The sequence below is a fragment of the Homo sapiens genome, chromosome 13, assembly GCF_000001405.40.
Source record: "Homo sapiens chromosome 13, GRCh38.p14 Primary Assembly".
Lineage (NCBI taxonomy): Eukaryota > Metazoa > Chordata > Mammalia > Primates > Hominidae > Homo > Homo sapiens.
In genome coordinates this window covers 110,050,230-110,078,017 of record NC_000013.11, presented here as the reverse complement: position 1 = coordinate 110,078,017, position 27,788 = coordinate 110,050,230, and the positions used below count along the sequence as shown (strand labels likewise).

General features: G+C 43.2%; 2 long non-coding RNA genes across 9 annotated transcripts in view, besides 1 other annotated feature; one reads left to right on the top strand and one right to left on the bottom strand.

Annotated features, from left to right (window-relative positions):
• LINC03082 (long intergenic non-protein coding RNA 3082) overlaps window positions 1-27,788 on the top strand; it is a 145,761-nt gene that overhangs the window by 51,119 nt on the left and 66,854 nt on the right. For 4 of the 8 annotated variants that reach the window (NR_187459.1, NR_187460.1, NR_187447.1 and 1 more), the window contains exons 1-2: window positions 20,708-20,892; window positions 21,790-21,908. The exons of 1 other annotated variant lie outside the window; for it this stretch is intronic. This is a non-coding gene — a long non-coding RNA (long intergenic non-protein coding RNA 3082). Of the gene's footprint in view, window positions 1-20,707; window positions 20,893-21,789; window positions 21,909-27,788 lie in introns of those variants that run through there. 3 more of the 8 variants (NR_187448.1, NR_187445.1, NR_187462.1) reach the window with 2 other exon arrangements.
• Window positions 12,173-12,672: an enhancer, noted in NCBI's record as "H3K4me1 hESC enhancer chr13:110717693-110718192 (GRCh37/hg19 assembly coordinates)". NCBI's record gives its function as "activates a minimal SCP1, AML or CMV promoter by ChIP-STARR-seq in naive H9 embryonic stem cells {active_cell/tissue: H9 hESC(naive)}" and the evidence as "EXISTENCE:reporter gene assay evidence [ECO:0000049][PMID:30033119]".
• LINC00396 (long intergenic non-protein coding RNA 396) lies at window positions 23,066-24,733 on the bottom strand. The gene is made up of 4 exons (NR_126387.1): window positions 24,707-24,733; window positions 24,105-24,167; window positions 23,836-24,004; window positions 23,066-23,245 (listed from the first exon to the last, which is right to left on the bottom strand). It is a non-coding gene; the product is annotated as a long intergenic non-protein coding RNA 396 (long non-coding RNA).

Genomic DNA, 27,788 nt, shown 5'->3' with positions numbered 1-27,788 from the left:
ATAGATAGACCACTAGCCAGACTAATAAAGAAGAAAAGAGAGAAGAATCAAATAGACACAATAAAAAATAATAAAGGGGGTATTACCACTGATCCCACAGAAATACAAACTATCATCAGAGAATACTAAAGCACTTTTACTCCAATAAACTAGAAAATCTAGAAGAAATGGATACATTTCTGGACACATACACCCTCCCAAGATAAACCAGGAAGAAGTCAAACCCCTGAACAGACCAATAACAAGTTCTGAAATTGAGGCAGTAATTAATAGTCTACCAAGCAAAAAATGCCCAGGACCAGAAGGATTAACAGCCAAAGTCTACCAGAGGTATAAAGAGGAGTTGGTACCGTTCCTTCTGAAAATATTCCAAACAGTAGAAAAAGAGGGACTCCTCCCTAACTCATTTTATGAGGCCAACATCCTCCTGACACCAAAACCTGGCAGAGACACAACAAAAGAAGAAAATTTCAGGCCAATAATCCTGATGAACATCGATGTGAAAATCCTCAATAAAATACTGGCAAACCGAATCCAGCAGCACATCAAAAAGCTTATTCACCACAATCAAGTTGGCATCTTCCCTGGGATGCAAGGCTGGTTCAACATATGCAAATCAATAAACATAATCCATCATATAAACAGAACCAATGACAAAAACCACATGATTATCTCAATAGATGCAGAAAAGGCCTTTGATAAAATTCAAAACCCCTTCATGCTAAAAACTCTCAATCAACTAGGTATTGATGTAATGTATCTTAAAATAATAAGAATTATTTATGACAAACTCATAGCCAATATCATACTGAGTGGGCAAAAGCTGGAAGCATTCCCTTTGAAAACAGGCATAACGCAAGGTTGCCCTCTCTCACCACTCCTATTCAACATAGTATTGGAAGTTCTGGCCAGGGCAATCAAGGAAGAGAAAGAAATAAAGGGTATTCAAATAGGAAGTCAAATTGTCTCTGTTTGCAGATGACATGATTGTGTATTTAGAAAACCTTATTGTCTCAGCCCCAAATCTCCTTAAGATGATAAGCAACTTCATCAAAGTCTCAGATGCAAAATCATTGTGCAAAAATCACAAGCATTCCTATACACCAATAATAGACAGCCAAATCATGAGTGAGCTCCCATTCACAATTGCTACAAAGAGAATAAAACACCTAGGAATACAACTTACAAGGGATGTGAAGGACCTCTTCAAGGAGAACTACAAACCACTGCTCAAGGAAATAAGAGAGGACACAAACAAATGGGAAAACATTCCATGCTCATGGATAGGAAGAATCAATATTGTGAAAATGGACATACTGCCCAAAGTAATTTATAGATTCAATGCTATCTCCATCAAGGTACCATTGACTTTCTTCATAGAATTAGAAAAAACTACTTTAAATTTCATATGGAACCAACAAAGAGCCCATACAGCCAAGACAATCCTTAGCAAAAAGAACAAAGCTGGAGGCATCACATTACCTGACTTCAAACTATACTGCAAGGCTACAGTAACCAAAACAGTATGGTACTGGTACTAAAACAGATGTATAGACCAATGGAATGGAACAGAGGCCTCAGAAATAATGCCACACATCTGCAACCATCTGATCTTTGACAAACCTGACAAAAACAAGCAATGGGGAAAGGATTCCCTATTTAATAAATTATATTGGGAAAACTGGCTAGCCATATGCAGAAAACTGAAACTGGACCCCCTTCCTTATACCTTATACAAAAATTAACTCAAGATGGATTAAAGACTTAAACGTAAGACCTAAAAACCCTAAAAGCCCTAGAAGAAAACATAGGCAATACCACTCAGGACATAGGCATGGGCAAAGACTTCATGACTAAAACACTAAAAGCAATGGCAGTAAAAGCCAAAATTGACAAATGGGATCTAATTAAACTAAAGAGCTTCTGCACAGCAAAAGAAACTATCATCAGAGTGAACAGGCAACCTACAGAATGGGAGAAAAATTTTGCAATCTATCCATCTGACAAAGGGCTAATATCCAGAATCTACAAGGAACTTAAACAAATTTACAAGAAAAAAACAACCCCATCAAAAAGTGAGGAAAGGGTATGAACAGACACTTCTCAAAAGAAGACACTTATGCAGCCAATGAACATATGAAAAAAAGCTCAATGTCACTGGTCATTAGAGAAAGGCAAATCGAAAACCATGATGAGATACTATCTCATGCCAGTTAGAATGGCGATCATTAAAAAGTCAGGAAACAACAGATGCTGGAGAGGATGTAGAGAAATAGGAATGCTTTTATACTGTTGGTCAGAGTGTAAATTGGTTCAACCATTGTGGAAGACAGTGTGGCGATTCCTCAAGGATGTAGAACCAGAAATACCATTTGACCCAGCAATCCCATTACTGGGTATACACCCAAAGGATTATAAAGCATTATACTATAAAGACACATGCACATGTATGTTTATTGCAGCACTTTTCACAATAGCAAAGACTTGGAACCAACCCAAATGCCCATCAATGATAGACTGGATAAAGAAAATGTGGCACATATACACCATGGGATACTATGCAGCCATAAAAAGGATGAGTTCATGTGCTTTGCAAGGACACGGGTGAAGCTGGAAACCATCATTCTCAGCAAACTAACACAGGAACAGAAAACCAAACACCATATGTTCTTACTCATAAGTGGGAGTTAAACAATGAGAACACAGGGACACAGGGAGGGGAATATCATGCACCAGGGCCTGGTGAGTGTTGGGGGGCTGAGGAGGGATAGCATTAGGAGAAATATCTAATGTAGAGGATGGGTTGATGGGTGCAGCAAACCACCATAGCATGTGTATAGCTGTGTAACAAACTGGCACTTTCTGCACTTGTATCCCAGAACTTAAAGTATTATAATAATAATGATAATAGTAATAATAAAAGTTATCTTAACACTAAAAAAGAAAAGAAAAGAAAAGAAACCCACAGAAGAAGCATTTGAGATGCTTGTGAGGATTAGGGCAGTGCTGTGTGTTTATGGGCTGTGTTAACGGTATATACACACACATCTAGGCATGGGGGAGGGTGCGTGGGTATGTTTCTGTCTGAAGTTCTCTGCAATAAAGAGAGAATTTACTTGAACTCTAGGTTTTATCTTATAATGCTGATGCTATGTCCTATGCCATAATATAGCCAGGCTTTAAAAATAGAAACTTAAGTTTTCCCTCAATATTTTTAAGTAAAAAACAGATGTTCCAGAGAGCTGTTCCATGCTTATCTTAAGGCATTGAAGCACCCTCTATCCCACTACCCACTACCACAGTGTGAGGGTTGTGTAATTTATGCTAAGTTAAAAGCTAAAGTGAAGTCACATTTTCCCCTCCCCCCTTGCTTTACAGTGTACCAACAACTGTTTTTCAGAGTCACCTCTGAAGTGTTATTTGAAAACTTTGTCTTGAATTGTTAATCAAAGATGAATACCTCAGCAGCTGTCAGTCAGAAGGTGGATGCTGTGTGAATTTTTGTCTATGAATCTATTAGTAATGAGATTCTTGGAAGATGTATAAACACAAGGAAATTTATTGACATAATCTTTTGGCATTGCCAGTAAACACCTTTGCATCTATTTTATTTTATTTATTTATTTATTTATTTTAACACCAACAGAAGTGATAACCATTTTTGCACACAGAACACTGAAATCTTTTTTACCGGCTCACAATATCAGAGACCAGAGTTCTCCTTATGAGAAACCCAGGTCAGCAGTGCCCCGTGCATCACCTGGACAATGGCAGCCATTCTTTCATTTGCTAGAAGGCCCAAGGTCTTGTCGTCCACCAGGAGGCTCTCCTTGGAAGGGTGCCTTGGACTCAGGCTGTGCATAGGCACAAACGACAATGGGCCTAGTAGTCTTCATCACAGGCCACATGCCAGCGGCAGGAAAGCTTCTTTTCTACTGCAGGGAAAGCCAATTAGTGCTGTTTAATGAAAAGCGACTTCCTTTTGTTTACTTTATAGAAAAGCAAATTAAGTGTTCTAGTCATCATCAATTTAAATTAAGACTAGGAAACAAAGACCGAGCTAAAATTAATACAACTATACCTCAGTTCTGCAGTATGACCAGATAGAAAGAAAACGAGGAGTATAATAAAGAGATAGGAAAGCAGAAAAAAGTATGGCAAGGCTCTCAGAGGAAGAGGCACTTGGGCAAATGGGCAGACAGACCCTTCGCCGACACAGACACCCGGCACAAGAGGTCAACAGAACATGCAACAGCGTGTCACCCCGTCTTGTGTCTTTTGGGATACTGGCAATTGACACCTGAAAAAATCGGGTTCCCTTTTCACAGCTATAGTGATCAAGCTCCTCTTGGGACCTGCTCCATCCTTTGGAAGACGGATTCATTTATTAGCAGAAGTTTCCCATTTGTGGCTTTATGGTCTTGGGAGAGGAATCGCAGAAATATTACCTAGCTAGGAGACAGCAAACGCCTGGACATTGGTGAGGATGAAAACAGGCTCAGAAGCTAATTTTCAGGAAAAAGACTCAAATTATTACAGAACTACAAAAATGAAGAGAAAAAATTCAGACACATCGATATTCAAATTCAAGGGGGATACATTTAGGAAAAGGTAAACCTTAACCCAGCATTAGGCTTAGCCATATCTTCTAGAACACCTTATGCTAATATGGCTCCTTCAGATGCTACATTGAGTTTAGGCACCAAACATTTAAGTCTCTCCTTCTCAGAGCACTTGGGGTCAAGACCCACAGAAGGGGCTGGCCCACCCTTCGGAGGCTGAAGATCTTTGTGCTAGAGGCTCCCTCACCAGGTACCTCCTGTGGGTTTCTTCTGGGACTGGCGCTAGATGTTGTTCTGGACACTCTCTCATTAATGAGTGCCTCCTTTGCAGGCTTGAATTCTTCCCCTTCCATTCCTTCTGAAACATTGCTTTTCCCTTTTACACGCACCTCCATGTAGCCCTGAAATTCTGCGGCCATCGTCTTCACCTCCAGACAATGACACCCACCTTTCTTTCTCTGTAAGAGTGGGTTCCTGAGGGCCAAATGCATGGCTAGCTCTGATGCGTGTTAGCTCGTGGCCTCTGGCTGATTAGACGTACTCATGGGTTTTCCATTTACCAAGCAGGATTATTCCTCCTCCCTGACATGTGTTGAGAGGACAGAATGAGACAGAATGTGTGGGCACCTGGTTCAGTGGCTGGCGGGAGGGCACCCCATCCCTCAGCAAGCCGTAGGCCTGCCTGGTCCCCCTTCCTTCCCCTTCCATCCTCTGCCCACCATCGCGTCTCTCCCAGCCCCTGCTTCTGATGTCCTGGGTGTTTTGTCAGCAAATATTACCCAGGAAACAGCAAAAGGGAAAGGATACCCTAACCCACGCAGTCCTGGGGGCCGTCATCCAGGCAGAGTTGGTCTGCAAACAGAAAACCCATCTGCCTGCAGCAGCCTATGAGGAGGGAAGGCCTCTCTCTCCAGCTCACTCCAGCACCTCCTTGGTGGACTCTTGCCTGGAACCAAACGAGGAAGGAGATTCTAGGAAGGACGGCACTGGCTTTTCCTCAGGAGTAGAGGGAGTGGCAATGTCAGAAGGGAGAGTCCAGCCAGGACGCTGGAGCTGGTGAAACACCCCAGGTCCTGACTGATAGAAACCTGCCCGAGACCAGCTTCCTCACTGCGCCGTCCTTCCCGCCCTCAGGGCTTTCGTAGGCGCTGAACGCAGCGCTGTGAGTATGGCCTTGAGCACAGTGTGTGCAGGTGCCCGACTATTTTTTGTGTGTGCACATACACACACTCACACACACATAGTCCTGAGGATCATACACACAATGCTAACAGTGATCATCTCTGGGTCATAGAATCTTACTTTTTATTTTTAATCTTAGATGCAGGGGGTACCTGTGCCAGTTTGTTGCATGGATATATTGTGTAATGCTGCAGTTTGGGCTTTTCTTGAACTCATCACCCGAATAGTGAACATAGTACCCATAGGATTAATGCAGAATCAGAAAATCAAATACCACATGCTCTCACTTACTAGTGGGAGCTAAACAGTGGGTACCCGTGGACATACAGATGGAAATAACAGACACTGGGATGCAAAAGGGGAAAAGAGGGAGAGGGGCAATGGCTGGATTGTGAATTTTTGTTATCTTTTTTTCTTACTTCTCATCTCTGTATTTTGAATTATTATTTTCCACTGAAATTAATATTGTGTTACTTGTTTGACCAAAATATAAAGGGAGACATTTCTAAAAATTAGATCTATACCCCCGTTACACAGGAAATTTAAAATAGAAAACATTCTTTAGGACAGCCACAATTCAACTATAAAGTATTAGCATAAAAATGTCATTAGCCATTGATCATACTCAGAAAAAATAAAAAAGAAAATACTAAACTCCCTCAGAAGTAGGAAAAGGTGACTCCACTTCTGCTAACTTACCTGCAAACGATGGGAGTGGATAATGTGATCATTCTGGTAGGCGTTTCTTTATGTCAGGAGAAGAATGCAGGATTTGACCTCTGTAGGCATCAGCATCTCTCATGTTGATTTGCGTGAAGTTTCCAAACATCCTACTTACATCTGCTGGGATTCTAACTTTTCTGGAGGTGTGAATTGAAATGGAAGTCTTTGAGCTACCTGAAGAAAAGAGACTATTTTTTTTTTAATTAACAGAATCATCATCTTTCCAATGTTTTTGTACTACCAACTGACGATGGACGGTGAACAACTGTTGCAGACACACATGCGTGCACACGTTGCACACACTTGCTTCTTTGGGTCTCTTTGAACCCTTCACTTTTTTAGTTTAGCGTGTTCAGGATGAAAGGAATCCGATGATCAGCAATTTGATGGGTAGAGTGAGGGGGGAAAGAAGTGGCAGCTTTTTAGAGGAATTCATGTAAGGTAAGTTTGCTCGACTTGCAAGTTAAGTATCTGAATATTTAACAGCATTGTTGATAGAATGGGAAATAGAAATATGAAATTATGAAATAGAAATTGAGAAATAGAAATTCTGGGTTGGTTTTTCAAGAAGCACATGGGTCTACCTTGTTTGGTGATGACACCATTCTGCCTGGCTGACGTTCGGGCCCAGACCTGCTTGCTAATGTCACGGCCTGAATAGCTTTGCAAGGCGTGGGAGGCACGTTTGCCCTGTCTTTTCACATCTCTGCTCTAATTGTTATGGTTACTTCTTGGTACATATTGTTATTTGGAAATAAAGTCAAAACAAATTCTTTGTTGTTTTTCTTTTTTAAACAACAAAATACTAAGTGTTCACCTAGAAGTCAGATGATGTTATTAATTGTAATTGTGTGGCCTGGCTGAGTAATTCCCCATGAATCATTAACCACAGAGCATCTGCTGCTCCTGTGTGCGGAGAGTGATGTATTTAGACTCTCGAATCCTGTACATTGCTCTAAAGTTCAGAAAAATATGTCCAGAAAGAATTTCAAAAGTTTAAGGAAAATTGTGACGTTGCAGAGCCCCTTATTGAACTTTCAATGGCTAGAATATGAAGATTATACATTTATTTTTCAGGCTTGTTTGTTCTGTCAATTAATGTTCAATAATGGAAAAATTTGGTCTACCCTCTCCTTCTCTTGTCAATCACCAGTTTGAATGACAGAAAAAAAATACTCCTAAGAAGGAATAAAACCATAACAATGCAGTAGAAAATAAGACAGGAGATTTTCATAGGCAAGACATCGTGAGGAATTCCTGCAAGACAGAAGGCACGGGGATTAGAGGGCTGGGGAAGGGAGGGCAGAGGGGGATTAGAGGGGTGGGGAAGGGAGGGCAGAGGGAACTGCAACGCCGGAGCTTGCCAGGAGGGTCTCAGGGAAGTTTCACTTTCTGAATTAAATATGCAAATACTAGAAATAATTAGCTTCAAAGTACTTTACTTAGTACAGTTACTCCTTAAGGCCTTCTTTAAAACCTTTAGCTAAAGGCTGAGAACCATTCTCTAAAGAAAGCAAACCGCATGGCTAGAAAGGACCCTGAGAAGTAGAATGCAACGTCCAGTAACCCCAGTTCCCTGCAGAAGAAAGGGGAGAGAGATTATTTTTTGAAAGAAAAGCAGCTCTTTTTAGGACAGAAATACACTGAGTGATCATGTCCCAGAGTGAATTGTATCTTAGAATGGCTAGTATGGGCCATTGTTATTCTGGCAGGTTCCTCTTATCCATTCTCCGAGTGGCTTCCCGAATTCACAGAGGTTCAGGCGCTGTGGAGACCCACCGGGGGTACAGATCCACACCACCACCAAAGCACAGAAGCAAGAGTGGAGTTTCTCATTCAAAACTCTAAGAAAAACAAGAGTCACCAGATATTTGCAAAAATGAAGAGCATGAAAAAGAACAATCAAGACCGTGAAGCAAAGCAACTAACCATTGAGAGCAGCAGCAATTCGCAGAACAGAAACGAATTTAAAATGTTCTAATTAGTGTTTAGTGAGCAGTGAGAGGATAATTCCTTCATAAAACATGAATAAGTTGCCTTGAAAGAGGAGCTGTCTGAGAACAAAAAAAGAGTTCTTATTAAATATGCTAAAATTAAACCTTTCTGGATGCACGCAGAAGTCACAGAATGGATGCGATGGATGAACCAGCCGTGAGCTGGAAAATAATGTTGAGAAAAATTCAGCTTATAGAATAAATGGAAGGGAATTAACAGATACAGTAAAGATATGAAAAATAGATTCAAGACTTTCAGAAATAAGAGTGAAGTTGGCCGGGCGTGGTGGCTCACGCCTGTAATCCCAACACATTGGGAGGCCGAGGCGGGTGGATCATGAGGTCAGCAGTTCGAGACCAGCCTGGCCAACATGGTGAAACCCCATCTCTACTAAAAATACAAAAATTAGCCAGGCATGGTGGTGCATGCCTGTAGTCCCAGCTACTCAGGAGGCTGAGGCAGAAGAGTTGCTTGAACCCGGGAGGCAGAGGTTGCAGTGAGCTAAGATTGCACCACTGACTCCAGCCTGGGCGACAGAACGAGACTATGTCTCAAACAAACAAACAAACACCAGTGAAGTTAAGAGTAGATCAAAGAAATCACAGGCAATTCATGTCCTTGAGCCGCGGATCATTCAAGTTTTGATAAACGAGTTAATGGCTAAGCAGAATCATTTACGAATACAGAGCCATTCTTGGAAACATAACATGTATTTTAGAAGAGCAAAGATGGAGACAGAACCCCCAAAACTTACAGAGTGAATAAAGTATAAACAAGCACCAGGTTATATAAGAAGGGACAAGGCTCCAGCCTGGGCGACAGAGCAAGGCTCCGTCTCAAAAAATAAATAAATAAAAATTAAAAAAATAAAAAAAAAGAAGGGACAAGGCAGGCAGAAACACCAGACCCCCCATCATCTGGCAGACGATGCTGCCAGACCACAGGGTGGTGGCTTCAGAGTTGACTTCACCAATCAGCAGATACATCCTCAGTGTGTTCTACGAGCCAACCACAGTTCTGGACAAAGGTCCCTGCCTTCACGAAGCTTAGATTCTACTGTGAGAGGACCAGCAACAAACAAGATGGACAAGTAAAATACAGTGAGTGTTAGATGGTGTTAAAGGCTTAAGAGAGAAAAATAAAGCACGTAAAGGAGAAATGATACATCGAGTAGGGAGAGAGGCGGCAGTGTGGAGAGGTGTCCAGGCAAGGACTGTCTCAGAAGCTAGCTTTGAATGAAAATTCACAGGAGGAAAGGAGGCTGGAAGGAGATCAGTCTGCAGACTCCAGAATGTTCTTGGCAGAGACAGCAGAGAGCATGAAGTCCCTGAAGCAAGGACTTTTTAATCCAAGTTTTGAGAAAGATGAACTTCAACCTTGCATTGGTCTGAATATTTGTGCCTCCATGAAATTCCTATGTTGAAATCCTTATCTCCAAGGTGATGACATTTGGAGGTGGAATCTCTGGGAGATGACTGGGTCTTAAGGGTGGAACCCTCCTGAATGGATTGAAGAGGCCCCAGAGAGCTCCCTCCCCGCTTCCATCATGTGAGGACTCTGTAGAAAGATGGCCTTGTATGAACAGGGCGTAGTCCTCACCAGTGCCTTGATCTTGGACTTCCAGTCCCCAGAACTGTGGCTTACGGGATTTTGTTATAGCATCCAAAATGAACTAAGACAAACCTAGAATTCTATGCTATGCCAATATCTAACAAAGTGTTAGGGCAAAATAAAAACATTTTTAACACATGCCGGTTTTCCACCTACACGTGCTATATGTAAAAACTTAAACACACAGATATTCTCGAGCAATATAAACAGGAATCTGAGGTAGAACATGATCTGAAATATAAGAAATAGAGACAGCTGAGTAGGATTCAGAAGGAAAAATAAAAACAAATTCAAAATGAAATAAATGTGATAAGAACAAACTATTACAACACCTCAGGATGAAATTAGCAGTGTCTCAGATTACTCAACATGCTAAAATGAAGGAATGTAATAAGATAACTAAAAGTCTGATGAAAGAGCAACTGTCAACTTATATGAGCTATCCACAGAAAGTGCCAAAATCTATCTTAATTAATGAGACTTTTTTTTTCAATGTTGAAGAGACAACTGTGGCTAATTTACATCAGGTTATAAAAGCCTGTTGGTAGCAAATCCAAGTTGATTTCCATAAAATGGGTTGCCAAGCCAAGGATGGATATAGGAACAGCCATGGAAATTTTAATGGGATTGTAGCCTTAAAGGACGGGATGTGTATAAAGTCATGTACAGAGAGCATCTAAAGCAGGAATGATTTAGTGAGCGACCAAAATATTCAATGCTCAATGGTATTTAATTGTTGGATGGGTATGAAAATGCATGCTGGTTTGTATAAGCAGAGAGTTCGTTTATTGAGCCATTTCAAATGCCTTATGGATAAAGATATTTTTACAAATAAAAAAAGCCATCAGTTGTTTTGATGGCAGAAATTTTATGGAAACACCACTCATGATACTCTACTACTTCATTTACTACTGATTTTTCCAAAGATCCCATTTAAAACCATGTAAAAACATGCTGCCATAATTATTCCTGTCAACAGGAAAACACCACAGCAGTAGCAATGGCATTTTGATAGCATGTTGCCATTGATATATCTTGGAAACTTTCATTCTGTAGAACTTCATAAGCATGACAGGCAATTGCATTATAACAACCATAAGGGAATTCCACCCTTGTACCTCGGACAGATGATGTGTTTAAACACTGTCTAGGAAAGCAAAGAGTGCTTTATTTCTTCATGTGTCCACTTTGTTCATGTCTTAAGGTGTTTCAAGGAAAAGAAAGGCAGGATGTGAAAGACATTCCTTAGAATGGGTAGATTGGGCACCCTATTATAAGTGTTTATTTTAGGAGAGAGAAGGATCCGTGTTGACAGCAGGGTTTCTGCATTTGTTACGTTTGAGTGTATGATGACATTTTTATACAAAACTTAGGGCGGATTTTCTATTAGAGAAGAAGTCCTATTTGGACCTATTAGGCACTGAAGGAGTTCAGGGTGCATACATGGCTAATAGACACTTGCAAGTTCTCTGTGGAGATCTAGGGAGAGCATTGGGTTAAAGATCAGGATTCGGTGCTGCTATTCCATGAAGGGTTGTTAAAATCATGGTGGATAGAATCAGCTGGAGAAATAAATGCCGCCAGACTGGGTGGGACTCAGCACTGCCTTCTAGAAAGCATCAGGTTGGGCACTGGCAGAGACAGAAGGAAAGGAAGCATGAAAGAGAGAGAATTCAGTGAGGGTGAGTGTGCATGTGCAAGGGATGCTGGCAGGGCCAGGCCAGAGTGGGCCACTGTGTAGGAAGCCCGCGAACACAGGCTTTCAGGATTCTGTAATAACGGACCATTGGATTCTTTCCTGGGTCCCATCAACTCTAAGATTTCCTGTATAAAACTACTCTTAATCTTTCATGTAAAAAATACAGCAGTAGCGGAATTAGGTGTTTTTCTTCTGCCACAGTATGCAAGATCATAGACAAGTTGACCAATTCCTTGAAATTAAAGAAAACACATGCTATTAGGTTGGTGCAAAAGTAATTACGGTTTTTGCCTTTTTTGTTTTGTTTTGTTTTTGAGACGGAGTTTCGCTATTGTTGCCCAGGCTGGAGTGCAGTGGTGCGATCTCAGCTCACGGCAACCTTTGCCTCTGAGGTTCAAGCGATACTCCTGCCTCAGCCTCCTGAGTAGCTGGGATTACAGGCGCCTGCCACCAGGCTCAGCTGATTTTTTGTAGTTTTAGTAGAGATGGGGTTTCACTATGTTGGCCAGGCTGGTCTCGAACTCCCGGCCTCAAGTGATCCACCCACCTTGGTCTCCCAAAGTGCTGGGATTACAAGCGTGAGCCACCCCGCCCGGCCACTTTTTGCCATTTTTTTTTTTAAAAGGTAATAGTAAAAACTGCAATTACATTTGCACCAACCTTTCAGGTAGGGGAGGAGGACAAAGCAGAAATCATATAGTGGTTGGGTTGGGCAGGATAATGGCCCTCCAGGATGTCCACACCTGGATCCTTGGAGATTCTGAATCTGTGCACCCACATGGCAAAGGCACCATGCTGGTGCGATGATGGCCAGGATGCTGGGGTGGGGGGTCGTTCTGGATGGTCCAGGAGGCCCACTGTCATCACATGACACCTTACCATGGCAGAGACCTCATGCTGGGAAACCCAAGCCCAGCATGTGAGAGGCCCAGGGCTGCTTTGAAGATGGAGGGAGGGGCTGTGAGCCAAGGACTGGGCTGCTTCCGGAATTGCCAAGCCAGGGACCCACTCAGCCATTGAGCCCGGAAAGAGCCAACCCTGACGACACCTCTGTCTTAGCCAGTGGGACCCACGTCGAACTTCTGACCTCTAGCACTGTCCTTAAACAGGGCACCAAGTGTGTGGTAACTTACTACCACAGCTCAAGAAAACTCCTAAGTGCTTCTTAAACATACAGTGTGGTGAAGTTTGTATTCTTAAAGTTTATGTTTAAATAGATAAGTGAAGGAATTTTATGTATTCTTAAACTTAAAATGGCCTTGTTTGGCTGGGTGTGGTGGCTCACACCTGTAATCCCAGCGCTTTGGGAGGTCAAGGTGTGAGGATCACTTGAGGACAGGAGTTCAAGTCCAGCCTGGTCAACACAGTGAGACCCTGTCTTCACAAAAATAAAAAAAAATGAATAAATAAAAGTAAAAGGGCCCTGTTTAATCCTACATGGCTTTCTGTATATACAATAAAAATACGGTCTCGGCTGGGTGTGGGGGCTCATGCCTATAATCCCAGCACTTTGGTAGGCCAAGGTGGGGTGACCACCTCAGGTCGGGAGTTCAAGACCAGCCTGGCTAACATGGTGAAACCCCATCTCTACTAAAAATACAAAATTAGCTTGTCATGGTGGCATGTGCCTGTAATCCCAGCTACTCGGGAGGCTGAGGCAGGAGAATCGCTTGATACCGGGAGGCGGAGGTTGCAGTGGGCTGCAATCGTGCCATTGCACTCCAGCCTGGGCAACAGAGTGAGACTCTGTCTCCAAAAACAAACAAACAAACAAACAAACAAACAAAAACTATCTATCTATCTATCTATCTATCTATCTATCTATCTATCTATCTATCTATCTATGGTCTCAGATCTGGGAAAAAGAGGAATTGCTATTTATAGGAGGAGTTCTTATTCTCAAACAAACCTAGCACTTTGCTCCCAAGGAGAGAAAAACAAAACCTGCCCGAATTTTGGGGCACCTGTGTCACAATGTGATCATGTGATGCTGAGAATATTCCGGTTCCTGGGCTAAAAATAAGCTGATGACACTGTGTTCTATTAATGAGTACACGATCTTATCAGAGGACTCAGAGCTTTGATCTAAAGTTCATCAGCTTAAAGCCTTTATAATTAGCTTTCCTTGGGAATGCTGGCCTTACCTCTTTAGTCTTTATTTTGCTTCTAATTGAATGATCGCTAAGTACCTCTTACCATTGCACAGATGGATGTTGTTTTTCAAAAAGGAACATTTTTTCCTCTAAAGTCTTTCATGTAATAATTCTTGTTCCTGTTTTATTTATAACACTAGTGATTCCCATTGCTGTAGGCACAGATTATGCCAGATTGTGTTCTTCACTGCGGTCAGATCAGTGCTCTCTTCTCCAGACAGCTCCAACTTACACATGGGTTGTGTCCCGCAGCTCATGTTTAAGTCTGTTCTTTGGAATTTGGAACAGATTTTCCCAGACAAACAAGGTAATAAAAGTTGATTTGGTCTCCAGGCTGCTTTTTAATGCACAGTTGAATGGCCCAATCCTAAGTGCTAGGACCTGGGGTTAGAGGCCACTCAGTGCGGCAGAAGAGGAGCTAAACAGACCAAGAGACTCTTCGCCCTGTTTCTGGGCATGGAACTGGTAAACAACATGCCAAAGAGGAGAGGCCCATTTTCTTCCTCTCCCCAGCTCCCCCTTGCCAGCCAGTGCTCTGCTCCCATAGGCCCTCAGCCCCTCCAGCCGTGGTCAGCCCTCTCCTGTGAGGTGAGCCCCCAGCTACTCCAATGCTCATTTGCAGATGGCACCCTGAAACTGTCATCTTCAGAGGAGTGGCGCCTTCTGGAGGAGTCCCTCAGAAATGTTGCCTTCCCAGACGTGGTCCTCCTCTCCCCACGCTCCAGGGAGTTTAACTGGATGGGGCCCGTGCGGTCTTACTCGGTGAGCAAGCTCAGCACACGTTTCATAGGCGCAGCCCGTGCTGGATGCCTGCCAGTTGTGCTGACACCTGCTGAGGGTCCTCTGAGTCCATGCCATGCCCTCTCCTAGTTGTGGGCTGGGATGCTTTACACCTGCTGGCTCTGTCAGCCTGACGACTGCGGGCTGGACCAAGGATGGACATCTGTCCTGAAGAAGCCATCAGCAGAGGGCTTGTGAGCCGGGAGGGCAGCCATGCAGGGATGCTCCGCACTTGGGCTGATGATCCTATGTCCTGGGTCTCCTGAGATAGCGCAGTTCAAATGTAAGCTTTTCACCCTGAATCAATTATTAATAGTGCTCCTTTTCATACTCACAACTCCCTTAGCTCAGGCAGTAAATTCCACGGTCAGCGTACCTGCACTGCGTGGGGTGTGGCTGAGTCGTGAGTTCTGAATGGGCAACACAGGGAGGGAGGTAGGTTTGTCAGCACTTGGAAGGAGCAGTGGCAGCAAGGCTGGAAAGCCCACAGACTCACAGCGATAAGAAACTCCAGACAGAACCCCCAAACATCCTCTTCTCAAGGGATGACCTCAAGATAGATCAATCTGCTCATTGATTCAGCAAATATTTATGGAACCCATCATGCATGGCAGATGCTGCCAAGGTCAGGGGAGACTGCCATGCATAGCTCAGTGTGTCTCACCTTCCCAGAATGTGTGGCCTCTCAGCCAAGCTGGCAGGCACAGCCTGTGCATGTGACCGCGCCCTGTGGGGAGAGCAGGCAGCATAGAAAGTCCCTTCTACGAGACACCCAGATTTGTGGAGTCAGAAAAGGCTTTGCAGGAAATGGCATCTACCCTGAGCCCATAAAGGGTAGTGGTTGCAAATCAGATGGAAGGAGAGGATGGAGTGGGGTGGGGGCCAGGGTGAGCAAGGCAAATGGGAACAAGGAGAGTGGCTGCCAAGTCACCAGAGATGCTCCCGACACACAGAATCCAAAGCCGGGTTCCAGACCAGCAGTGTCGGCATCGTGGGAACTTGCAGGAAGTGCACGTTTTCAGGACTGAGCCCCGACCTTCTGAGTCAGAAACTCTGGCAGGGCCCCCACACCTGGTTTTACCAAGGCCTCAGGTGGTTCTGAGGCCTGCTGAAGTTGAGAGCTCCCTGCTCAGCTCTCAGAGCAGCTGGGCCTTCCCTGGACGCCTCCATGCAAAGGTCTCTGGAAGGCCCAGCTCCTGGGGCATCCCAGGCACACTCCACAACTATGGGACTTCTCATGCATGACACTCCTGGCCTCAGATTTGGCAGCCTCAGACTTTCCCACCCTTTCTGGGATATCCTCATGTCCAAACTCGGTGGGGTGATGATGAGCACTCGTCTTTATGTGCACATTGCCTTAGCAGAGAGAAGGGAGAAAGAAGAACGTGGTTCCACTGGATCTACGGGGCCCTCTTTTCCACTATGCCAACTTCTTGACATCTGTCTTCTGTCTGTGATTTTTCACTAAGAAAACACAAGCCACAGAATGCAGCCTGGTGCAGGGCAAAGGGCACAGATTCCGGAGTCGGCTGGCTTGGATTCAGCCTCACTTTACCACTTGCTTGTGTGTAGCCAAGAGCAGGATATCCCACCTCCTGCTGCCTCAGTCTCCTTATCTGTAAAGCGGAGATAATCTTACCTACCATATGGGATTATTGTGAGTAATAAACGGGTAAATGAATGCAAAGCCCTTTAAACAGTGCCAAGTGCAGAATATGTATCTAGAGATATGCCCTATTGTTTTGGGCTTGATGTCATCTTTCCATATTATACAGTTGTTACTGCCTGTTTCCCCAGAAAACTCCTGGGGCCACATCCTTCTGCCTGCTGCCTGTGGAAGGCACTATTTCCCACTTACATGCAAATAGCTAACGTACTCTGCTTTTCCTTGACTTCTGTAACCAACACATCTCAAATCGCCAAAACGGACCAGCAGTTATCTGGAGGGCCACCTGATGAACTGGTACACTGTAGCATGCAGTGGTTCCAGCACCCCACCCCTCATAGGCTATTAATGATTGTTTGTTAAGGTAAAACCCCATGCTTTGCTACCTTTTTAATCTAAAATTGACATCTTTTGTCACTGTGGATGCCATTGCAGACTTAGGAGTGTAAGCTGGCAGTGGCTGGGTTTTGACAAGACTTAATTTGGTGGTGCCAAGAGTGCTGCCATGAAGAGATGAGCTTGCCTGGACACAGCTGTTGCCAGCCGAGTTATAACACAAGTGCTCATGGCTTTTATCAGTACTTTTTTAACGTGGTGAAAAATCTGCCAATTTCATGTAATTTTCCTATCATAACAAACATTTTTTTTTTCATGCTGTGGGGAATTATGAAGAGTCTGTTTCATCCCCACCCCATCGCCCTTGGGTTTCAGATCAGTGGACACCGTGAGGACAACCCACACTGCTCTCAGGGCGCGTGGATGCTGAGCTTCATTGAACCTATCGGTTTGGGCATGGAGCACATTATCAGGTCTTTCTTTCTCATCTGTATCTTCGCAAGCAAACTCAACATCAAATATGAAAGTGTCTACACCTTGCATGGCATGATGAGAACTTCCAGGTTACCTTTGCCAAATTGAAAACGTATTTTAATTTTTCCAAATCACTGGAGAAAAAAAAGAACAACAAAAAATCCTCCTTAAGTCTATAATTAAAATTATTTTATGAGCTATTTTCTACCTTTAAAGTAGATGCTATGCTAATGTTCTGCTGCTTCTGTGAGTGGCTCTCACCCTGGGAGCAGGAGTGAGGTGGGTAAGTGGATTAGTTTGGAATCCCCTCTCCAGAGAATTTGTTCCTCCCTCAGGAGAAGATGGTGGGCGTTTTAATGAGCTCCACATGGTGTATTCTCCAGGCTCTTCAATCTTTCAATAAAATGTTGCAAACCAGGGCTGGGCACCGTGGCTCACGCCTGTAATCCCAGCACTTTGGGAGGCCGAGGCGGGCGGATCACCATGTCAGGAGTTCGAGAGCGGCCTGACCAACATGGTGAAACCTCGTCTCTACTAAAAATACAAAAAAAATTAGTCAGGCCTGGTGGTGGGTGTCTGTAATCCCAGCTACTCGGGAGGCTGAAGCAGGAGAATCGCTTGAACCCACGGGGCGGAGGTTGCCGTGAGCCGAGATCGCGCCATTGCACTCCAGCCTGGGCAACAGAGCGAGACTCTGTCTCAAAAAAAAAAAAAAAAAAAAAGGTTGCAAACCAGTCATTGCTGATGGGCACACCTAAAATACTGCTTTATATTTTTAATTGCCTAAAATACTTTATAATTGATTTCTTATAAGAGGTGAGTCGGGTCATTGGTGGAGATAGTTATCCTATTTTTTCTTTATTCCACTTTCAACTTTTTTCGGGGATTGGAGTAGAAGAAATAAAGAAGTGCCAGGCCCAGGAAAGAAATTAACTGATGAGCTAAGTCTGGAAGTAGTGGATTGGAAGGTTGATTGAACTGTGACTACAAGCTGGAAATGCAAGAAAAAACGACTGGAGAGAGATTGCTCTTCTTATATTCCTATGAAGAATCACAGTCACCATTTGAAATCTTATTTATTAGGACGTGACATGCCATGGACTGGCTAGCTTAGGAACAGACTGTGAGCTCCAGGAGTCAGGAACTAGGTCCACCCCAGAGAAATCTACAACTTCCCAAATAGTCTGAATATGCTTTGCAGAGAAGAAAAATCTACATCATTTTCAAAACTCCCTTTGGATAAAAGGTTCACATCTGGCAAAATGAAAGAACTGTGATGACTGTATCATTTTTAAGAGGGAACAATAATGTAAAATTTAAGGTAAGGGGGTAAAATAAATTGCCAGTAACTATGGCAGATATCTTCCTTCAGTAGTGAAGTGCCTTCAGTAGTGCCTTCAATAGTGTAGTTGTGAATCAAAGTGTTACAAATATTAGTCAATATTATAATGCAGACTATTAAAGGGGGCTTCCATTTGAGACGGAGTCTTACTCTGTCACCTAAGCTGGAGTGTAGCGGCTCAATCTCTGCTCACTGCAACCTCCACCTCCCGGGTTCAAGTGATTCTCATGCCTCAGCCCCCCGAGTAGCTGGGATTACAGGCACGTGCCACTATGCCTGGCTATTTTTTTTTTTTGTATTTTTGATAGAGACGAGGTTTCACCATGTTGGCCAGGCTGGTCTTGAACTCCTGGCCTCAAGCAATCCACCTGCCTCAGCCTCCCAAAGTTCTGGGATTACAGGCATGTGCCTGTAAGTATTATATTAATATTTATCTTTATATCCTAACTAATAGTAGTGGGTATCCCATTTAACAAGGGATTCTACTAAAAATATCATATTCAGTAGTCTCTTTTCACCCTTAATGACCTTTCAAGCCAAGACATTTCTCAAAATTCAGAGCTGTTAAAATATATCAGTATGTTAATATACTTTCAATATCTGTTTTATTGTTTTAATTTTTTAAAATTTTAAGTTAGTTTTTTATTACAAAAGTAATGTATGTATGCTTATGGACAAAGTTTCAAATGTTACTGAATGGCACAAAGTGAAAAGCAACATTTCTTTCTGAATCCCTGCCTTGTCCCTACAAGCTCACCACTCTGGACATTTTTTGGTGAGCATCCTTCCAGAAATGTTTACTCAAATGCTATTCTACTTCTGCAATTTGCTCCCTGCCTTCACGGAATATTACTTGGACCATTTTCCATGTCAGCAAATATATGTCTACCTCATTCTTTTAAAAGACCGTGTGCTGTTTGGGAGGACATTCTATAATAATTTTAACAGACATCTATTTGTGAACACTTAGCTTCCTTCCAACTGTTTTTCCAGCTTCAGGAAATTGCTGCAGGGAACATTGTACAACATATACCTGCAGCCTTGATCAAGTATTAAGTACATTTCTGGAAGTGGAATCACTAGTATAAGGGGGGCTTGCATTTTGAATCACTGATTGCTACTGTAAAAATGCCCTGCACGGAGGCTGTAGCCAATTCCACTCAAGTGAAAGGATGTTTGTTTATTCCTGGCCTCACTGAAAATTACCAAGCTCTTTATCTCGTTTTTTGTCTAGCAGGTAAAAACCTATGTCTTCTTTTTATTTAAAGTTCCTTTATAATTATATGTTAAATGTGTACATATTTTAATGTTTGTCTGTGTTTTTAAACTTTACTTATTTTTATGTAAGGTGATTTAAGTTTTTTTCTTCTGTCAATTTGTGAGTAGTATTTGCATAGTAAGGAAATTGGGTCTTGATATGTTTTCTATGTTGTAAATATTTTTAAGTGGATTTTTAATTTGTTTATGGTATTTTAAAAGCATGCATTAGTTTAATTTGTTTGATGTTTGCATAGTCATATATGCTAATCATGTTCTTCCTGACTTCTGGGAGATGATGTATTTTTAAAGCTACTTTGATTCTGTTCTCCCACTCTTTTCTCTTGCTATGTTGGTCATACTTTTTATTTGCAAGAGAAAGAAAAAAGGTTTTTGCTGATTTTTTCCTTCAATTCTTTATCTCATCAAGGACAATTTTAAGGGGTATCATAGCCCTGCCGTACGCCAGAGGGGTGCAGTGAACTAAGGCTTTGCGTGTGCTGAGGACAGGATTACTTTGTTGAGATCCTCGCATGCATATATGATCACAGCCCAGGAGGGCAGTACAGCCAGGCGGCAGGTGAGGGCAGCCCAGGGCTTGGGAGATTCCTACATTTCAGGATGGCTTTGGTGTCTGCAGGTCACATATAATTTAATGTTTTCAGTTACACTGTATCAACTTTAAAAATAATTCGGTGAGGGAAGGAACCTCGATCTTGGCATCCTGGGGTTCTGGGTTCTGACCTCTGTCCTGGCATCCCGAAGGGTCTGATGATGTTTGCTGGATGTGTGGCAGCTCCAGGGCTCGGCTGCCTCTTTTTGGTTATTTGGTTTCTTGTTCCTCCCAGTGACTGAAAACCCCTCCCTCCCTGGCTTTTTATAGAAGCTAAGAAAAGAGCTTATTTTGTGACTGCATCCGGACCTTGAGTTCTTTGGCTCTTGTGTGAGTGGATGGTGACACCAGGCCAGCTGGGGATTCTTCCCAGGCTGGGCTCACAGGCTGGGGCTGGGCACACGGAGCAGCTGCGGGAAAAGGATCTGGACACCAGCCCCCCAGCGTGTCACCGGCAGGAAGGTGAGGTGGGAACAGAGTGACGTCCATGCATGTTCAGGTGAGGCCTTTGTCTTTTCTTTGCTTGCGCAGTGGGACTTCATGCTTTAACTTGCATCGGGTGACCAGAAAATGGCAGAGGAGCCCCACCCTGGGCAGTGATTTTAATATTACGATGACATTCAAATGAGGAGAAAGGCGTGAGGGTCAGGCTGCAGTCCCTCTGGTCTTCAGGCAGCTGGACCTGGTCAGGTCCTTATAGGGAATGCCAGAGTCCTGTTTCAGTGACCTCAGAAGGCATCACTCAAAGAGATAGATAGGTCCTTCCTTGTATGGTCAGGAATTCAGCCTGGTCAGCAGATTTAGGAGCACCTCCACCCCTTCCTGCTCCGTGACTCAGTCTACTTGTTAAGGGGTGCAAGTGGGGGAGGGAACGTGCCCGGATGTGTGAGGGCCATCAGGACCTGTGTTGCTTTGTCACATGTCTGCAGGACCCAGTCTCTTTCCTCTCCTGCCTCAATTTGACAGAAAATCAAGACACCTAAGAAATTTGGGATGAAATGTTGTTACGGAAAAAGTGAGGGATGACAGTCCATGAACATGACTTTAGGGACAATAAGGGGTCTAAAAATATCCGACGAAGAACAACATCTCATCCATTTGAAAAGTGAAAAGTGGAATCTTGTTTGAATTTGTATTTCTTTGATGACTGCCAAGGGTAAATATTCTTTCCTTCCTTCCTTTCTCCTTCCTTTCCTTCCTTTCCTTCCTTCCTTCCTTCTTTGAAACAGGGTCTCGCTCTGTTGCCCAGGCTGGAGTGCAGTGGTGCCATCATGACTCAATGCAGCCTTGACCTCCTGTGCTCAAGTGATCCTTCCAGCTCACCCTCCCCAGTAGCTGGGACTACAGGCGTACACCACCATGCCCAGCTACTTAAATTTTTTCTTTTTTTTTTTAGAGACAAGGTTTCCCTACGTTGCCCAGACTGGTCTTGAACTCCTAGCCTCAAGCAGTCCTTCTGCCTCAGCCTCCCAATGTGCTGGGATTACAGGCATGAGCCACTGCACTTGACCAAGGGTAAATATTTTCTGTACGTTAATTACCTTCTGTATTTTTTGCCATGAAACTTAAAACCAATCCCTTTAAAACTTGTTTATATGGATGCCTCCATAAGCAATTCTTTACGTGTATTTAATCAAGCACGGATCTAGGTGTTGCTGTGAAAGTATTCTACAGATGTGCTCAGTCTCTGCAATCAGTTAACTTGAAGTAAAGGAGATTACACTCTGTAATGTGGGTGGGCCTCACCCAGCCAGCCATAGGCCTTACTGTTAAAGACAGAGGTTTCCATAGAGGAAGACGTTCCACCTCAACATGGCAGCACTGGCTCCTGCCTCAGTTTCCAGCTGCTGACCTGCACCACTGATTTTGGATTCGGCCGCCGCACAATCGCATGGCAAATTTCTTAAAATTGTCCTCTCTCTCATCTCCTGTTGGTTCTGTTTTTCTGGAGAAACCTGACTGATACAGTAATGGACAAGATCAGCAGCTGCGTGGAGCCCTATGTCTGAGCTAGGGATGAGGCCTTCGGAATGTCCTTCAGTGTTGACACTAAAACACATCTGCTATTTCTCTCTCATATCATCATTATCAACCAGCAGATCGCCTTGCTCAGAAGAACACTCTAGCTCTGTCATTGTTTTATAAGCTCAAAGAACAAAGAGCTGCCAGTATCTTAACCCCTCCCAAATCTAAATTAAAGGCACCATTGGAAAAGAAAAATGACCTAGATAGAGAAGAAGGGCAAGTACAGTAATTCACAACACCTTGTGCAGAGGCGAACATCTATGCTGACACAGACAAGCTCCTGGAATGCCCCGTTGTGGTGAGACTGTGGTTTCCTCACTGAGCAGGGTTTTCATCTAAAGACTGCCCTGACCCAACAGAGCCTTGAAGCTGTTTGTTGTCTGCTGACTGTGGATCAGGCATCTTGCTGGGCGCTGCAGAGGGCACAACACAAGTAAGGCACATAGAGCTCACAGGCAATGCTTATTTTGGTAGAAACATGAGCAAAGGGTGTTTCTGCTTTATTTGTTTTGTTTTTGCAAGGATGAGAGAGGAATCCAACTAGGTGCATTTGTTCAGAATGCAGGCTAAGGGGGATTCGACAGTCACTATGAGACCAGGTAGGATGGGATAGGGATATGAAGTGGAAGGATGACAATGGAGTCAAATGGAAGGAATCGAATCTATTGCTTAGGCTCCTGTGGCTTCACAGTTTTCTTCAACTGTGTTGCCTACACACTTTATAATAAAATTAAAATTAAGATGATGGCAATCAAATAAGCAATTCACAAGGGCAGATCTTGTTCTGCTTCATTATCTGATTCACCTCTGAGGAGCTTCCTGAAAGCCTGAAAAAAAAGAAGAAAAAGGAAAACACAGTAAGTGACCAAACTTTTGTTTCCAGAAAGTAAGAAAATACTAATTAGGACCCATTTATGAGACACAACAGAGTACTGGTGCTGAAGTATCCCTCTCCACATCAACAAGTAGAAACTGAACAGAATGCATGAAGCACCTGTTTTCAGACACTGAGGACCACAGCCAAGGGTGGGATTCCTGGCGGGTGCGTGGGGTGTGCTCTGGGATTGCTGAGATGCTCTCTCTGGACTGTGGCATGAGCGGGTGGAGCCCATGTACAGCATGGTGGCCTCATGGAGTTGCGGACAGATGGTAGAGGTTGGGGTGTGTGAGGAGGTGGCAAGGTTTGCAGTGGGTGTCTGACAGGATCTGAAGAAATCTGCGGAGAGTCCCCTTGAGCCTCATGGAGAACAAAGAACACTTTGAGCAGAACGGAGAGTCCAGAGTAGCCCACGCAGAAGGTTGGGGAGACCGCACTGCACACCTGCATTCAACAGGGACACAGAACGGCACGCGCCGTGCACGGGTCTCTCTCAGCTGCCAGGTAGGGCTATGCGGGGACTTCTCCAGTTAAACTTACAGGGAAGCCTGCGAAAGTCAGCCAGTCCCACCGATAAATTCACTGCTGACCAAGCAAAACTCAGCAGCCCTTACATCTGACTGATGTCCATATGAGAGAAAAGAGAGGAGGACTTCAGAGACACCCACAGCTCCAACGACAGAGTGCAGCATTTCAGCAGGATGGCATCCTATAATGTTAAACGCACAATTAAAACAATCGCTAGAGGTGAAAAGAAGCAGGGAGATGAACACCATAACCAGGAGGGGAAAAGGTCAGTGGAGACCTACCTGGATGTAGTGGGAATGTGGGAATGAGCAGACGAGGACTTAAAGCAGCTGATATTTCAGAGACTTGAAGCAAAAGAGAAACAAAAAGGTGAATGGCTGGGGATTTTAACAAAAATTCCAAACTATTAAAAAGAATAAAACACAAATTCTAAAGCTGAGAAATATAATATGGGAAATAAAAAAATTTACTGGACTGGCTTACAACAGCTTGGATATGAGAGAAGAAAAGAATAGTGCCTTTGGATGCAGGGCAATAGAAATTATCCAAATGAAGAACAGGGAAAAACTGACAATAATTCTAGATGTGTGTGTGCCTGATAGCAGAGCTTGAAAATACACGAAGAAAATGGCATAACTGGTGGAGAAATAGACAAAATCCACCAAGACAATTCCATGGCTTCAACATTTCTCTTTCAGTGATTGGTAGAACCAACAGACCAAAATTTGGTGAGAATAAAGCATATTTGAACATCATGGCAGAAAGAAAGTAAGTTATTTTCAGAAATCATGCTGGAACTGGATATCCATGTGGAAAAAAGGAACCTCAACTTCCACTTCCTACTCACTGGGTTGACTTGTGTCCTCCAAAGGTTCACACCCACCTGGGACTTCAGAGAGTGACTATTTGGAATTAGAGGCTTTGCAGATGTAATTGAAGATCTTAAGATGACTCATCCTGAATTTCGGATGAATCCTAAATCCAGTGACTGATGTCCATATGAGAGAAAAGAGAGGAGGACTTCAGAGAAACACATAGGAAGAAACCCACTAAAATGGCTATTTTTTAAATTCTTATACTTTAAGTTCTGGGATACATGTGCAGAACGTGCAGGTTTGTTACATTAGGTATACACGTGCCATGGTGGTTTGCTGCACCCATAAACACGTCATCTACATTAGGTATTTCTCCTAATGCTATCCCTCTCCTAGCCGCCGACCCCCAACAGGCCCCCATGTGTGATGTTCCCCTCCCTGTGTCCGTATGTTCTCATTGTTTAACTCCCACTTATGAGTGAGAACATATGGTGTTTGGTTTTCTGTTCCTGTGTTAGTTTGCTGAGAATGATGGCTCCTAGCTTCATCCATGTCCCTGCAAAGGACATGAACTCATCCTTTTTTATGGCTGCATAGTGTTCCACGGTGTGCCACATTTTTTTTTATTATACTTTAAGTTCTAGGGTACATGTGCACAATGTGCAGGTTTGTTACATGTGTATACATGCGCCATGTTGGTGTGTTGCACCCATTAACTTGTCATTTACATTAGGTATATCTCCTAATGCTATCCCTCCCCCCTCCCCCCACCCCACAACAGGCTCCGGTGTGTGATGTTCCCCTTCCTGTGTCCAAGTGTTCTCATTGTTCAATTCCCACCTATGAGTGAGAACACGTGGTGTTTGGTTTTTTTGTCCTTGTAATAGTTTGCTGAGAATGATGGTTTCCAGCTTCATCCATGTCCCTACAATGGACATGAACTCATCATTTTTTATGAATGCATAGTATTCCATGGTGTATATGTGCCACATTTTCTTACTCCAGTCTATCATTGATGGACATTTGGGTTGGTTCCAAGTCTTTGCTATTGTGAATAGTGCCGCAATAAACATACGTGTGCATGTGTCTTTATAGCAGCATGATTTATAATCCTTTGGGTATATACCCAGTAATGGGATGGCTGAGTCAAATGGTATTTCTAGTTCTAGATCCCTGAGGAATCACCACACTGTCTTCCACAATGGTTGAACTAGTTTACAGTCCCACCAACAGTGTAAAAGTGTTCCTATTTCTCCACATCCTCTCCAGCACCTGTTATTTCCTGACTTTTTAATGATTGCCATTCTAACTGGTGTGAGATGGTGTCTCATTGTGGTTTTGATTTGCATTTCTCTGATGGCCAGTGATGATGAGCATTTTTTCATGTGTCTTTTGGCTGCATAAATGTCTTCTTTTGAGAAGTGTCCATTCATATCCTTTGCCCACTTTTTGATGGGGTAGTTTGTTTTTTTCTTGTAAATTTGTTTGAGTTCATTGTAGATTCTGGATATTAGCTCTTTGTCAGATGAGTAGATTGCAAAAATTTTCTCCCATTCTGTAGGTTGCCTGTTCACTCTGATGGTAGTTTCTTTTGCTGTGCAGAAGCTCTTCAGTTTAATTAGATCCCATTTGTCAATTTTGGCTTTTGTTGCCATTGCTTTTGGTGTTTTAGACATGAAGTCCTTGCCCATGCCTATGTCCTGAATGGTATTGCCTAGGTTTTCTTCTAGGGTTTTTTTTGTTTTTTTTTGAGATGGAGTCTCACTCTGTCCCCCAGGCTGGAGTGCAGTGGTGAGATCTCGGCTCACTGCAAGCTCTGCCTCCCAGGTTCATGCCATTCTCCTGCTTCAGCCTCCCAAGTAGCTGGGACTATAGGTGTCTGCCACCACGCCTGGCTAATTTTTAGTATTTTTAGTAGAGATGGGGTTTCACCATGTTAGCCAGGCTGGTCTTGATCTCCTGACCTCCTGATCCACCCACCTCGGCCTCCCAAAGTGCTGGGATTACAGGCATGAGCCTCCATGCCCGGCCCTCTTATAGGGTTTTTATGGTTTTAGATCTAACATTTAAGTCTTTAATCCACCTTGAATTAATTTTTGTATAAGGTGTAAGGAAGGGATCCAGTTTTAGCTTTCTACATATGGCTAGCCAGTTTTCCCAGCACCATTTATTAAATAGGGAATGCTTTCCCCATAGCTTGTTTTTGTCAGGTTTGTCAAAGATCAGATGGTTACAGATGTGTGGTATTATTTCTGAGGGCTCTGTTCTGTTCCATTGGTCTATATCTTTGTTTTGGTACCAGTACCTTGGTACCAGTAACTGTTTTGGTTACCATATCCTCGTAGTATAGTTTGAAGTCAGGTAGCATGATGCCTCCAGCTTTGTTCTTTTGGCTTAGGATTGTCTTGGTAATGCGGGTCTTTTTTTTGGTTCCATATGAACTTTAAAGTAGTTTTTTCCAATTCTGTGAAGAAAGTCATTGGTAGCTTGATGGGGATGGCATTGAATCTATAAATTACCTTGGCCAGTATGGCCATTTTCATGATATTGATTCTTCCTATCCATGAGCATGGAATGTTCTTCCATTTGTTTGTATCCTCTTTTATTTCATTGAGCAGTGGTTTGTAGTTCTCCTTGAAGAGGTCCTTCACATGCCTTGTGAATTGGATTCCTAGGTATTTCATTCTCTTTGAAGCAATTGTGAATGGGAGTTCACTCATGATTTGGCTCTCTGTTTGTCTGTTATTGGTATATAAGAATGCTTGTGATTTTTGCACATTGATTTTGTATCCTGAGACTTTGCTGAAGTTGCTTATCAGCTTAAGGAGATTTTGGGCTGAGACGATGAGGTTTTCTAAATATACAATCATGTCATCTGCAAACAGGGACAATTTGACTTCCTCTTTTCCTAATTGAATACCCTTTATTTCTTTCTCCTTCCTGATTGCCCTGGCCAGAACTTCCAACATTATGTTGAATAGGAGTGGTGAGAGAGGGCATCCCTGTCTTGTGCCAGTTTTCCAAGGGAATGCTTCCAGTTTTTGCCCATTCTGTATGATATTGGCTGTGGATTTGTCATAAATAGCTCTTATAATTTTGAGATACATCCCACCAATACCTAATTTATTGAGAGTTTTTACCATGAAGGCT